This window comes from Homo sapiens, chromosome 14, assembly GCF_000001405.40.
Source record: "Homo sapiens chromosome 14, GRCh38.p14 Primary Assembly".
Classification (NCBI taxonomy): Eukaryota; Metazoa; Chordata; class Mammalia; order Primates; family Hominidae; genus Homo; species Homo sapiens.
The window spans coordinates 65,445,448-65,460,138 of NC_000014.9; the positions used below are offsets into that span (position 1 = coordinate 65,445,448).

At 37.3% G+C, this 14,691-nt stretch overlaps 1 protein-coding gene across 12 annotated transcripts in view; it reads left to right on the top strand.

Moving 5' to 3' along the window:
* The window catches only part of FUT8 (fucosyltransferase 8), a 387,280-nt gene that overhangs the window by 88,606 nt on the left and 283,983 nt on the right, over positions 1 to 14,691 (top strand). For 10 of the 12 annotated variants that reach the window (NR_038167.1, XM_047431179.1, XM_047431177.1 and 7 more), the window contains one exon: positions 10,174 to 10,271. The exons of the other annotated variants lie outside the window; for them this stretch is intronic. The gene's annotated coding sequence lies outside the window, so the exon portion shown is untranslated. The remainder of the gene's footprint in view (positions 1 to 10,173; positions 10,272 to 14,691) is intronic. 12 annotated transcript variants of the gene reach the window in all.

A 14,691-nucleotide genomic window follows, 5' to 3' on the forward strand; every position in this document is an offset into this window, starting at 1 on the left:
CAGGGGTTATGGTGGGGGAGGGTGTGTGACTATGGAGAGACAGCATGAGGGAGTTTTTGGGGTGATAGAACTGTTCTGTATCCTGAGTATGGATATACATGTGTTGAAATTCATAGAACTGTATACTCCTACTTCCTCCCAAAAGTCTGTTTTACTGTATGCTAACTTAAGAAATAAAATGGAAGACATACAAAGAAACTGAACATGTGTCTACTTTATAAGGCATTTGGTCTAACTACTGGTCAAATAAACTTGTATAAATACTGTCTAATGTTTTCTCTATTAGATTTTTTTTACGTCTCAAGGATTTGTATGAAAAGTGACTGATGCACAGAAAACCTTTATTTTTTATTTTTTAAAAAGTAGAAACAGAGTCTCACTATGTTGCCCAGGCTGGTTTGAACTCCTAGGCTCAGGTGATCCCCCTGCCTTGGCCTCCCAAAGTGTTGGGATTACAGGTGTGAGCGACTGTGCCCAGCTAGAAAACCTTTCATATTAAAATAATTAGCACTATAATCATGTGCAAAGAATTGGGATGGTCACCTAGTACAGCTTCACATTTTAAAATAGGTAACAACTATCATTTATTGAAATAATGCTGTTCATTGGTTTTATAACCCAAGTGATACTATATCCTTAGACACTGTAATACTACGTATATATGTATATTTTGAATTTGATACGTCTTTTAAGCCTTTTAATCTACAGATCCCCCATCTCATCTGTCTCTTTTTCTTACAAGTTAGCTATTGAACCCTGGGCTGTTTGCCTTGTAGAGTTTCCCACAGTTTGCATTCTGCTGATTGCATACTAATAGTGCAGTTTAACACTTTCCTCTGTTCTCTGTATGCCCTGTAGATTTTCAGCTGGATTCAGAGGCTTGATCCTAATTAGGTGTGATCCCTTTGGCAAGGCAATAGGAAGTGTGTCATCAGAAGGCACTTGGCTGTTTGGATGACTCTCTTTGTGACGTTAGCAGCCATTGATACTCACTACTTAGATGGATTAATTCATTGGAGGTTGCAAAATAGTGATAGTGATATTCTAAATTATTTCTTTTTAATTTATTACTTAGCATACTTCCATAGAATATTTTCTTCATCACTGTTTGGTTATTAAATAGTATAATTCACAAGGAAAGCCAGGATAAATACTTGATTCTTTATTTTTATTTACCAGTTTTCAAGATACTGAAATTGTTACATCTAAACCTGTGAAGATGTTTTAGGGCTTTTTTTTTTTTTTTAACATGTTTAGATTTTCATTCATTGCAATTAATATGCTTAATGAAGCTCAAATTGTTGTTACATCTTTGACCAGTGGGAGCCTGCCCCTCACCCTCTCTCTCTTTTTTTTTTTGTAAAGATAGGTTCTTTCTCTGTTTCCCTTTCCTTTCCTTACTTTTCAGGCAGAGTTTTGCTATGTTGCCCAAGCTGGACTTGAACTCCTGTGCTCAAGCAATCCTCCAGCCTCAGCTTCCTGAGTAACTGGGACTACAGGCACGTACCACCACACCCGACTCTGCTATTGTTTCTTTAAATAAACATTCTGCCCCTTTGTCTGTCTCTTCTCTCTCTTCAGCTCTTATAATCTGAAAATTTTCTCTATGCTATCCTATAAATGTTGTAACCTTTCTTTATTTTCATGTTTTTCCCTTCTGGGTGGTGAAATCTGGTCTCTACTAAAAATACAAAAAATTAGCAGGGCATGGTGGTGCATGCCTGTAATCCTAGCTGCTTAGGAGGCTGAGGCAGAAGTCGCTTGCTCCTGGGAGGCAGAGGCTGTAGTGAGCTGGATGTCCCACACTGCACTACAGCCTAGGTGACAGTGAATGAGACTCTCTCAAAAAAAAAAAAAAAACCCAAAAGAAAGTAAATTTTGTTTGAGTTTGTTACTAAACTTGGTGAATATAAGCTGCATTTTTTAGTTTCCAGTAAATCAAGGCGCAGTGTAATCATTGTACATTTTATGTTGAAGAGTTATAGGAAAATACCTTTATTTTATAATAATGAAGGAAAAGGACTTTTTGGATTGGAAAGGAATGTTTTGACAAAAGATTAAATTAAAAGATTAAAACAATTTTTTCTTCTGAAAATTTTTTTTCTTCAACCAGACAAGATACCATTTTTTCAAATACATACATTTTTTTCAAATGGTATCTTGTCTGGTTGAATTACTAGAATGTTTTTGGCGTGTTTAGTAGCAAGTGGTAAGTTCAATTGAAATACAAGCTGAAAAATTCTAATGGCCCCTGGAAGATGGCAGTATAGGCTTTTCATCTCAGAATTTTAGATCTGGAGGAGACCTTTAAAATTTATTCCAGTTCCTTCATTATAGGAGAATATCTAGACATCTAGGGATAATGATATGTTATTTCTGAGATCACATAGTAAATTTCTGTTTAGAGCTGGGACTAGTACTAAACCTCTTCGTTTCTGTTTCGGGATTAGTTTCTCAATGCCAGAATGTGTTTCTTGAAAGGCACGATAACCAGCTCCTGGGCTCCTCATATCCTACCTAAATTAGTGCAACTAAGGCAGTGTGACATATTTATATTGGTATTTTTATAAAGGCACAGAAACAGACATGATTTATTCAGTATCACAGGGATAGTGTTAGGTCATAAGACCCCTGACCTGTTGATTCTATCTCTTTATCTTACCTAGTAAGAGATAGCTTAGAGATAGTAGCCAAAATATCCAATGGTTATGAACTATAGATTGGGAGCTGGAAGTGGAGCTGGTACTAGAAACCATAAAAACGCCAGATGATGTTTGTGGTATGGTGAAGAGTGCTGGGATGATGCAGGCAGGGGGTGATGAAAGCTTTGGTCATGAGTAAGTGGGTCTAGAACCTATAGAATGGGGGGGCGGAATAAAGGAGGCAATGGAGCCACCATCAAACTCATGCTTATCAGGAGGATCGTTTGTTCTGTTCTCATTCCCTATAGCATATTGCTACTTTCCAGCTAAGATTTAGAATAATCATAGACAATAATAAAATAAAATACATCTGATATCTGCACAATATTTTAAGCACAGTACTCATAAATATTGTACTGTTTGATCCTTGCAGTATCCTTGTGAGATAAGTAGAAGGGATATTGGTGAGTAGAAACTATTAAATATAATATGTGTTAAGGTAGTGTGCTAGAAATCACTAAGGGATATAAAGGTGAATAACCACAGGCTCTGTTCTCATGGTGTGCCCAATCTTTTGGGGATGGGGTGGGAAAAATAAACAGTTACAATGTATAGGAAGTTGAAAAGGATTTAGAAATTCAAGCTGTGTCCCATGGGAATTTAGAAAGAGTGATGGTATTGTAACAGGAATTTTGGTATTTTGCCTTCTTAATTCAGACTAACTGAAAGGATAATGACTGTAAAAGCATCTTGACTGTAATAGATACTGATACGATTTTCCTTTATAATTTTCAGATTATTTTTTATTTTAGGTGATTTTACACAGCTATTTATATGAATGAATTTATGAATTAAGGATGACAGAAATCACTTAAATTGTTTTAGTGATTTTTGGCATATTAGTCTGGTTTGAGAAGGAGGGAGAAAACAAGGGAATTGATTTTGTAATGTCAAACAGAACTTACAAATTTAGGACAGATTTACCTAGACCATTATGAATAAATAAATAGATCCTTTTAATTGGTAAGAAACTAGACCAAATTTAATATAGTTGATTTAGTACTAGTTTATGTTGATGATGTAGACAACTTCACCAAAGGAAGGGGAGTAGTGAATAAATTAGTTATAACTTATTTTACTGTAAAGTAATGTTAATTGTTAGAATAATTATAGGAAATATTTGCTTACCAATAAATATGACTTTGACAGTCTTACAATGATGAATTCGTTTTTGTTGAAATAGCAGACAAAACAGACTTTTTCGTTTTGTTCACTTATTCCTAGAATCCATTTTAGTCTCTAGTTTTTGTTAGTATGTATCACCTACCTTAACTATTTTTCTTTTTGCCAAAACAGAAAGAATGCGGCTTCCGTTGATATACTGGAGTCACTTAGAATATCAATATCAACACTACAGAGAAAGGAGAAGGAAAGGAAGCAATATACCATTGTCAGTGTGCTTTTCTCTTCTGAGGCTTTCATCCTTCTTGTGTTTTCTCTCTTAACATTGGCCCATAGCTAGAAGACATTGAGGTCCTGCCTTACTGCATTTTTATCTTAGCCATGAGCAGCATACCCCATACTATATTTAGGTTGATAAATTTTCAATAGTAAAATTCTTCATAGTGAGCAGCCTCTTCTAGGCTGTCGCCACCCCTGCCTTACCCTATTTCACTGTGGAAAGCTCACTTTCTTGGTTGAAGCATCTCCCTGTTTGAAGTCCAGCTTTGGGGAAACCTAGAATGGCCTTAGGACCATCAGTGTTACAAGACTCAGTAGTGCCTGAGTCATACTTAGCTTTTAAAACATGTTTATAGCTTTCACTTTTTATGGGTAAATAGCCCTTTTATTATCAACACAGTACTTTTCTCTTTTTCTTAAAAATGACCAATTTCACCACTGATAGAGTTAATTTTTGTCATCTGTTAAACATGTTTTCCCATGACTTTGGGTTCTTCTTCATTTCATATGTGATTTTGTGTGCATATGTATGCATGTGTGTGTGGTTTCCTTTTTTAGAACAAGATGTATTTCTTTGAAGATGAGACTCAATGGGCCATTTGCTGTTTTTCTTTCCTCATCTAGGGTACCTTCAGTTTAGCTCACAGTTGTCTTTCTTCCTAATGGTGTGGGTAAAAATGACTGACTCTGTTCAATATTACAGATTGAAAATAAAACCTGTGATTCCTAGCCTCTTTATTTTATACTTCTTTATTTTAAAGTCTAACATTTTTCTTTCTTTATGCTTTCTTTTTTCTATCATGGAGATAACTTAAGATGTTTATTTAGTTCTATAGGTATTCTGTTTCTCCTGAAAACTTATACTTATCGTTTTACTTCTCTTCCTTTATTATGTTCATGTTCAGTTAGTCTACAGCAGATCTTGTAACGTTCGACTGAATTCTAGTTCCACTAACGATAAGCAAGTATAGCATTTCTTCTTAAGTGAATAATTTCTTCCATATATTTGATGTGGATATGATATTATATGCTGCACTCTTGGTTGTATCTTTTCAGGTATATTTCTTTTTCTCAGAGAAATCTTTCAGTTTGTATCTTTTCTAAAATGGGGTTTTTCTTACGTTGGGTTTTTATTATTGCTGATTACTGGATATTGTTTATTCTTTGGATGCTGTTGATATTCACCTATCATGAAAGTAAACTTTCATGGTTAATCATTTTTTTCTATTACGTAATGAAGCAGGATATTTCCCTGACTCCTTTGTGGGACTCGCAACAGGGGTGCCTTGTTTACCCAGCCTACCACCCTTCCACCCTATTTTTTTTTTTTTTGAGAGGGAGTCTTCCCTCTGTCGGCCAGGCTAGAGTGCAGTGGCGCTCACTGCAAGCTCCGCCTCCCAGGTTCACGCCATTCTCCTGCCTCAGCCTCCCTAGTAGCTGGGACTACAGGCGCCTGCCACCGCACCCCGCTAATTTTTTGTATTTTTGTTAGAGACGAGGTTTTGCCGTGTTAGCCAGGATGGTCTTGATCTCCTGACCTCGTGATCCGCCCGCCTCAGCCTCCCAAAGTGCTGGGATTACAGGCATGAGCCACTGCGCCTTGCCCCAGCCCACCACTCTTAACTCCTTGTGGAAGGGAGTGCACAAGTGAACGGGTGTGGGAATTGGAGTGAATGAGTACTGAAACCAGCCGGCTGCTTTGGCGCCAGAGGGCTCAACCTCCACTCACTCAGACCCACTGCGTTCTGCCCCTCGCAGGAGGGAGTGCGCATATGAGTGGGTGCCGGAACGGCCGGATGCTTTAGCCACAGCAGGAGTGAACTCTCTGCAGGCCCCACAGCAGTGTCCAGGAGCGGGTGCCTGCGACTATTGAAGCTCCAGAGGGTGTGTTACAGTGCTCTTTTAGCTCCGCTGTCCGTGGACAGCTTAAGTGCTAACAACTCAGTGGACCCTTTGCCTTCTTTTTGTGAAGTGGCAGCCCTCTGCCAGTGAGGCCAAAGGGCCACTGTGAAAGCCTTTTGTATCCACACTTGTGGCTCCTGAGCTCTTGTCTGGCGCCCAGGAAAAATGAGGTTACATGAATGAATTGAAAGATGGTAAATGCAGGGGATTTTATTGGAAATGAAAGGGACTCTCAGTGGAAATGGAAGCTGAAAAGGGGACAGGGTGGGTAGGTAATCTTCCCCTGGGAAGTTCAGCCATCTCTGGCAAGATTCTTCTCTGTAGTAATGCCATCAAGCTGTCCTTCTGAAGTCAAGCCACCTCTCTCCAATATCTAGCCATCGTCTTGTCTACCAGCTGAGTCTGGGGTTTTTATAGGCACAGGATGGGATGGGGCAGGACCGTGGGTGATTTAGGAAAAGGCAACATTTGAGCCAGAAAACGGAGATATAAGCTCTCACTTTGGGCCATGGTTACAGGCTTTTTGGCTTGAGGGTGAGGTTATGCTGGGGACCCACCATTTTCTGCCTAGAATTTCTCTGTCCCCCGTTCCTGTCAATAATATGCATTTCTTAAATATCTTTAGTTTCTCCTATGGTAATATTTTGTTTTCATATGAGTTCCTTCTCATTCTTAGATCCTATTTATGCTTCTTTGCTTTAGGATAACTTATTGACATATAAGTGGTATTTATTGAATACATCTAATTTTTAGAAAATTTCAGCATTCAGTGCTGTCACAAAGTTAATTAAGTTCATAGTCCCCCTTTAAAATACAGTGTTTCCAGGTAAGATGGACTAATAGGGATGGTCTTTCCACCTAAGACAACTAAAGAATGGGACGAAATAATGAAACCACAGTTCTCAAGACATTTGCCGTCAAGCAGCAAAAGACATTGATCCCCAAGGGATGGGAAACAAATTAGGCGAGATCATGCGGTTGCTCTAGCTCACACCTAGAGAGGGTTTGTAGGGATGGAACAAAGCAGTGGAACCCAGGAGGAGCCTAGAGATTTCTCTGTATTGAAGAGGTAGAGCTAGCTGGGAGATTGGGGGGCCAAGGCAGCTAGAGTTCACAAGGTAGAGTATGAGAAAGGAGAAAGCTGCAAGAGACAGAAATTCACAGATCTGTAGAAATTGCTTTCAATAATTCAATTGACTACTGATCAATACATGCCTGTAAGGAAACTATGGGAAGCTGCGGAAGAACCACCAAAAAGGAATTGAGGGAATAATATAATAATTAGAGCTCACACATGGTTAGGAGTAGGGCCTGAATCCATCAGACAAAAAAACTTCATAATTCAACAGGTATGTCAGGTAGAGGACTTCCAACGTTCTAGTTTTTATTTCTAGATGTTCAACTTGGGTCTTTTTTGTCTGTGTCTTAATATACTTAACCTTTCTTCTGGCTTTTAGTACATATGGAACAGATATATAATAACTTTTAATGTCCTAGTCTCCTAATTCTATCAACCCTGTCATTTCTGGGTTGGTTTTGATTGATTGATAGCTTTCCTTCTGGCTCTGTTTTCTTGCCTTAGTTTTTTTAACCTGCTAGTTAATTAATTGATGCATATCAGGCATGTAAAATAAGACACTGTAAATTGTGCCCTGTTGGGTGCTGGACATTTTTATATTCCTATATTCTTTTTTTTTTTTTTAAGAGATGGGGTCTTGCTCTGTTACCTGGGCAGTAGTGCAGTAGCATGGTCATAGGTCATGGCAGTATTAAACTCTTGGGCTCAAGTGATCCTCCTGTTGCAACTTCTTGAGTAGTTGGGACTACAGGTGTGTACCACCAGCCCTAGTGCCTGCAGATATTTTTGAACTTTTTCCTGGTCTGTATTGAAGTTATTTGAAAGTGTTTTTTAACTTTTAGGTATTGCTTTTAATCTTTGTTAAGTGTAACCACTTAATTTAATTTTCCCCACTACTGAGGCAAAACCCTTCTGAATATTTTATGCTTCATGAATTATGAGACTTTTCCATTCTGGCTGTTGGTTACAGATGTTAAATTGAGGATCAGATTGTCCTTTCATGGCTTGTTTTTAAGCTCTATTGGGATCATTATAGAGTCATCTTTATTCTAGGGCAAATTTAGCCCTCCTGAGGTCTGTACCTATGGCCTAGAGTGTAAAGAGATGTCTCTGCTGTGGCTGGATGGAACTCAGATGTCTCCAAGCTCAGTGTCAGCCCAGAGTTGTTCATATTATAGCTCCTGGAGGATGTTTTTTGTCTGACTTTATGGAACTTCACCCTAAGCATGTGTAGATTAGTATTTAGTTGATGACTCAAGTGGACCCCAATGTACATATCTGTAGCTTTTTTCTGCTTAAGTTTCTCCTTTCTGGTATATCATTCTAGTAATTTTTGCCACCTCCACTGTTCCAAACTCTGTTCTTTTCAAGTTAGCAAGACTGCTGTATTCTGCTTTGAATTTCCCTCTTGGCAATGGTGTCTAGAACATGTCTCTAGGCAGAAAGCCAGGGTGGTCATAGGCCTTATCTAGTTTGTTTTCTTGTTTCAGGGAACACAGATCTACACTAATTGTTGTTCACTATCTGGAAACTGTCATGTATTTTGTCTGGTTTTGCAGTTGCTTACCATCTGAGGGTAAATCTGTTACCAGTTATTCCATAATGGCTGGAAGCATACATTTCACACTATTGGATTATTGAGGAGTTTGGCAAAGACTTTTGGGTGAAGTTACAGGAAAGAATTACAATAAACCTTTGCTGACTTTAGACTTGATGGCTGTTTAATAATTGTATGTTTATGGGCTTTGGGAGTAGTTGACTATGTCTTCTTCAAATAGATGTATGAGATAATGTAAATAATAAAGCATTATACAGGCTGGGCATGGTGGCTCATGTTTGCAATCCCGGCACTTTGGGAGGCTGAGGCACGAGGATTACTTGAGCCCAGGAGTTTGATACCAGCCTGGGCAACATAGCGAGACCCAGTCTCTACAATAAAGTAAAACAAAATAAATTTTAAAATCTTAAAAAAAAAGAAAATAGTTGTGTTACCTTTGTGGTGGGAGGAGTTTAAGTTGGTGATATTGCTTTTATATTAGTTGTAATTGCCTAAAATTGTTTTCAGTAGACTTTGATGTCATTGGAGAAAAACTGCTTCTCACAATTAATAATGTCAATCAGAGAAAAATCTCATGTTGTTGACATAAGAGTAAAGCAAGTGGCAGAAACACACATTTCTATAGAATATATTGTGTCTTTGTACTGTTCTTGGGTTTTTGTACTTGGTGACTTGCGCATACTACACACTCAGTGAACATTTGATGTGCGAATCTTTATTAAGGCCATTTCACTTTTCAGTTAATCATATTGATTACTGTGTGCCAAACATGATACTGGATGAGGGAGAGGCAGCAACAAATGAAGTAGGAGAAGGGCCCCTGATCAAAAGACTGCATGAGATGGTGCATGTATAAGGCAGCAAAATACTCTACTGAAGATTAATGGAGTATAGAATGATTATGTCAGCTCTCAGGCAGGGAGGTATAGAGGGGCTGGATTTTGAGAAAGTTGATGGATATGCATTGATTGATAAAGGAGAAAAAAATCCCTGTTTTTTAAAAAAAGGAATGTTGTATTGCAGGGTGACAACTGAGAATAAACAAATTGTTCTATGGAAAGAAAGCAAAATTAAATTGGTGTTAGTGGAAGTTTGTGTAGAAGATAGTAAGAAACTAGGTTATGTAGCTAACCGAGGTGTCATACAAAATCGAGGGGAAATACAAAAGATTTTGAGCTTTGGTCTGAAAAGAGGTACACTTCTGAATGCCTTTTATGTTAAAAGATAGACAAAGTTAAAGAATTTTATATTCACAAAGCAAGTTATATGAGCGCTAACTTATTGTAAGTTGAACTATGAAGCAAATTAAACCACTGAGTGTTACTGAGTTTGGGTATAATTTGCAAAATGAAAACCCATTTTTTGTTGACATTTGGAAAGTGCTTACAGAATAAGTCAGTGTACAAAATAAGTGAATTTGCATGTTATGACTGGCTACATAAAGAAAAGTTAAAGGTATTTAAAAAATTATATAATAATGCTAACTGAAGCTTGAGTAGGGCTGAATTTCATATATTTTTATTTTGTTTCAGGTTGCTGCTTTTGCTCAGAGGACATCCATGACCCTAATGGTCTTTTTGTTCAAGATAAAGTGATTTTTTGCCTTTGTTGATTAACTGGACAAATTCAGGTTAGTGTATTTTGTGGACAGCACTTCCCTGTTCTAATTATATGTTAATATTTTGAGAAATAGATAATTTTGTGGTTAAAGCTACATGTTATGTACCAGTAAAGCAGAAAGGCCAAGTCAGTCTAAACTCTGTTGAATTGTGTATTAGTTAAGAAACATTTTCTTACTGCCTACTATATACAATATTCACTGCATAAATTGAAAAAAATTTACTTCCTTTTAAATAGTTTTGTACTTTAAATTATGGGGCTGGATAAAACAAGTTGTGGTTGAATGCGGTACACTGAACTTTTGGCATCGTTGTGTGGCATATTTGGTGCTAAAAATAAGCAACTCATCTTAAACATTTCTGACATTTTTAGTAGCTGGCTTTTAAAGGTATTCTTGTCCAGATTTCAGTCCTACATTAACATTTTTATTTATTTTTAGTGTTCATTCTATTAATTTTGACAAATATATATCACCACAATTAAAACATTCTCTAAACCTTCCAAATTTGCTCGTGTTGCCTATTTGTAGTTAACCTCTCCTTATACCTCAATCCCTAGCAATCACTGATCTGCTTTCTATCCCTGTAATTTGCCTTTTCCAATGTTATTTAATTGGAATCATCTAAGATGTAGTTTTTAAATCCTGGCTTTCACTTAGAATAATATATTTGAGGTTTATTCATGTTGCTGTGTGCATCAGTAGTTGTGTATCAGTAGTTTGTCCTTTTTTATTGCTGAGTAGTGTTCCATTTTATGGATATACCATAATTAGTTTATTCATATACCTGTTTATGGATATTTAGGCTGTTTTTAGTTTTTGATGATCATAAAACTGCTGCAATCATACATTAAAAAAATGTGACTCTATGTTCTTTAAAAAATTTGGTGGGGCATGGTGGCTCAAACCTGTAATCCCAGCACTTTGGGAGGCTGAGGCGGGCGGATCATGAGGTCAAGAGATCAAGACCATCCTGGCCAACATGATGAAACCTCATCTCTACTAAAAATACAAAAATTAGTTGGGTGTGGTGGTTCACGTCTGTAGTCCCAGCTATTTGGGAGGCCGAGGTAGGAGAATCGCTTGAACCCGGGAGGCAGAGGTTGCAGTGAGCCGAGATCACACCATTGCACTCTAGTCTGGTGACAGAGTGAGACTCTGTCTCAAAAAAAAAAAAAAAATTTTTTTTTGCATTGATGCATGTTAGGTGTACATACTTATATTCAGGGTACATGTGATAATTTGATACCTTTATGTAATAAAATCAGGGTAATTGGAATATCCGTTAACTTAAATATTCATTTTTTCTTTATATTAAGAAAATTTGAATTATTCTCTTCCCTAGCTATTTTGAAATGTACAGTCAACTAAGTAAGGTTAACTATAATCACCCTATTGATCTATTGAACACCAGGTCTTATTTCTTCTAAGTGTATGTTTGTACCCATTAGTCAACCTTTCTTCATCCCCTGACCCCATGTATTTTTTACTAATAGAAATTACTTTTTGTTGTTGCTACTGTTAAAGCGCTGTGATGATTTAACTATTGCCTTTTAGGCCATGGTTGCATTTCTTTTTTAAAATGTTATTAAAACATAATGAGAACACAATTTAACAGACATTGTGGCTAGGGGAAGAAACTTGCAATTTATGGTCATTTTGAGTATAGAAAGAGAAATGATGTAAAATTATTAGAAAGGGGATCTATTGGAACTTGTGGTGTTCCCTGATTTTGGAGATACTAGGTAGCCTTCTTGAATATAGTGGTAGTGTAGCAAGACGAGCTGCAGACAAAACCTCTCAGACACCGAGTTATAGAAGGAAGGGCTTTATTCAGCTGGGAGTATCGGCAAGCTACTGCCTTAAAATCTCAGCTCCCTGAGTGCACAATTTCTGTCCCTTTTAAGGGCTCACAACACTAAAGATTTCACATGAAAGGGTTGTGATTGATTGGAGCAAGCAGGGGGTACGTGACAGGGGCTGCATGCACTGGTGGTCAGAGTGAAACAGAACAGAGCAGGGAGTTTCACAATACAGTGCCTGAAATCTATGTGTAACATCGGGTTCTAAGTCATGAGTTGATTTTTAACTACTAGGTTTAGGCCAGGCAGGCCCAGGCCTGGTTTTGGGCCTGGTGCCGGGCTGCCTGTCTTTGATTTCACTTCCTTGTTTTTTTTCTTAAAACAGGTACTGAGGCCGGGCGCGGTGGCTCACGCCTGTAATCCCAGCACTTTGGGAGGCCGAGGCGGGCGGATCACGAGGTCAGGAGATCGAGACCATCCCGGCTAAAACGGTGAAACCCCGTCTCTACTAAAAATACAAAAAATTAGCCGGGCGTAGTGGCGGGCGCCTGTAGTCCCAGCTACTTAGGAGGCTGAGGCAGGAGAATGGCGTGAACCCAGGAGGCAGAGCTTGCAGTGAGCCGAGATCCTGCCACTGCACTCCAGCCTGGGCGACAGAGCGAGACTCCGTCTCAAAAAAAAAAAAAACAAAAAAAACAGGTACTGAGTGTAAAACAATATAAAACAACATGAGAGGGTCTCTCTTCCCTCAGTAGACCAGAAATATACAGGTAGATTAATAACGTCAAGCCTCATATAGGTAGCTTCAAAAGTCATCTAGAAAAGTCAAGTAAATTAGAATTCTATATTAAAAACATACTTAAAGAGGGTAAAGGTTGGGCATGGAAAAGTCAGTTTAAACTTTCTTGAATGAATATGTAGGATGAAAGTGATAGAAACTGTCTTTCTGCCTTGGGGAAATTAATGACCTCAAAAAGTAGCTTGAAACCCTATTTGAATATTTATAAGGAAACTGTAGTTCATTATTTGTTATAGAAATAAAAAGGTCTTGAGAAAGTATTATGCTCTGACTCAGAAAATGTAGGATGGTTTAGACTCTAGCTTCTAAGCCTGGACATTAAAAGACTTACTGCAACTTTAAATTGTTTTCTTGTTTCTGAACATTTTTAGATGAATTATGTAATTTTCATAGTATCTCTGTAGATACGTGGCCTGCTGTATTGTGTTCTCAGAAAACATTTCTTTAAAACCTTTTTTTCCTTTCCTTTCTTTTCTTTTCTTTCTTTTTTTTTTTTTTTTGAGACAAGAATCTCTCTGCCACTCAGGCTGGAGTGCAGTGGCTCAATTTCCGCTCACTGCAACCTTCACTTCCTGGGTTCAAACAGTTCTCATGCCTCAGACTCCCAAATAGCTGGGATTACAGATGTGTGTCACCATGCCCAGCTAATTTTTGTATTTTTAGAAGAGATGGGGTTTCACCATGTTGGCTAGGCTGGTCTCAAACTTCTTGGCTCAAGCGGTCTGCCCACCTCAGCCTCCTGAAGTGCTGGGATTATAGATGTGAGGCACTGTGCCCGGTCAGAGAACATTTCTTAAATAGACAAAACATTTTAGGCAGAGTCAGAGCATTTTAGAGCTATTTCTGAAAGAGAATAGTTATCTGTTCAACGGGCAAATACAACACAGAGTCAAAGATAATGCTGTGCTCAGAAGTCATGATTTCTTCAGGATTTTAGGGTATTTAGATTTTAAACCACAATTCTAAGGTCAATATTTATGTAAAGTATTTATGAAAATAAAAGCCATATTTAAATTTAAATTTAATATGCTTTAATTCACATAAAATATTTTGAGGTTGTTACAAAATAAAAAAATTTAGATTTTTCTAGCTATATATTCAATATCAGCATATTTTTTGCATATTTGAAAATTGAGATTCTGTCTTGTACCGTTTAAATGGTAGCCTGTTTAACTTAAAATTAACTGCAAAAGAAATAAACAAAAACTGAGTTTTTGTAAATAATATTAAATTGAGTAATTTAACTTAATCCCACCCATTAGGTTAAGCAATGATCCCAGGATAAAGAGAGAGAGAGAATGATGAGTAAAATGAACCCTACACTGCAATGTCTCCAGATAGCTGTATGAGTAAAAGCTTACCATCTCAGCTCTTGGGTCTTTATTTTCTTATTTTAAAAAAAGGCGTTAAGGTCCACATTAAAGTCAGGTATAATTGGTAAAGTTTAAAACTGCTAGTCTCTTTTATTTCACGAACACTGCCAGGCCTTGGAAATTATTGATAAAACTTGATTCACTGTGAGAAACAGTCAAAAAATAATAAAAAAAATAGCATTTTATTTTAAAGTTAAAGAATAATAAAATAAAAATAAAAACTTGCTTGAGATACTTTTCTAGAAATGGAACATTTTACAATGAAAATAGGATCCAAACATATAAGTATTTACTTTTGGATATTTGATAGATAGGCTTGTTATAAGATTGTGACTCAGCTGAAGTGGTTTTAGTTTATACAGATTTTTGAGAGAAGAAAGTACACCTTTTTGCTCTATATGTTTTCTCTGGAAACATCTCATTGTATTGTACCAATTTTGTCTTGATTCTCTAAGAAT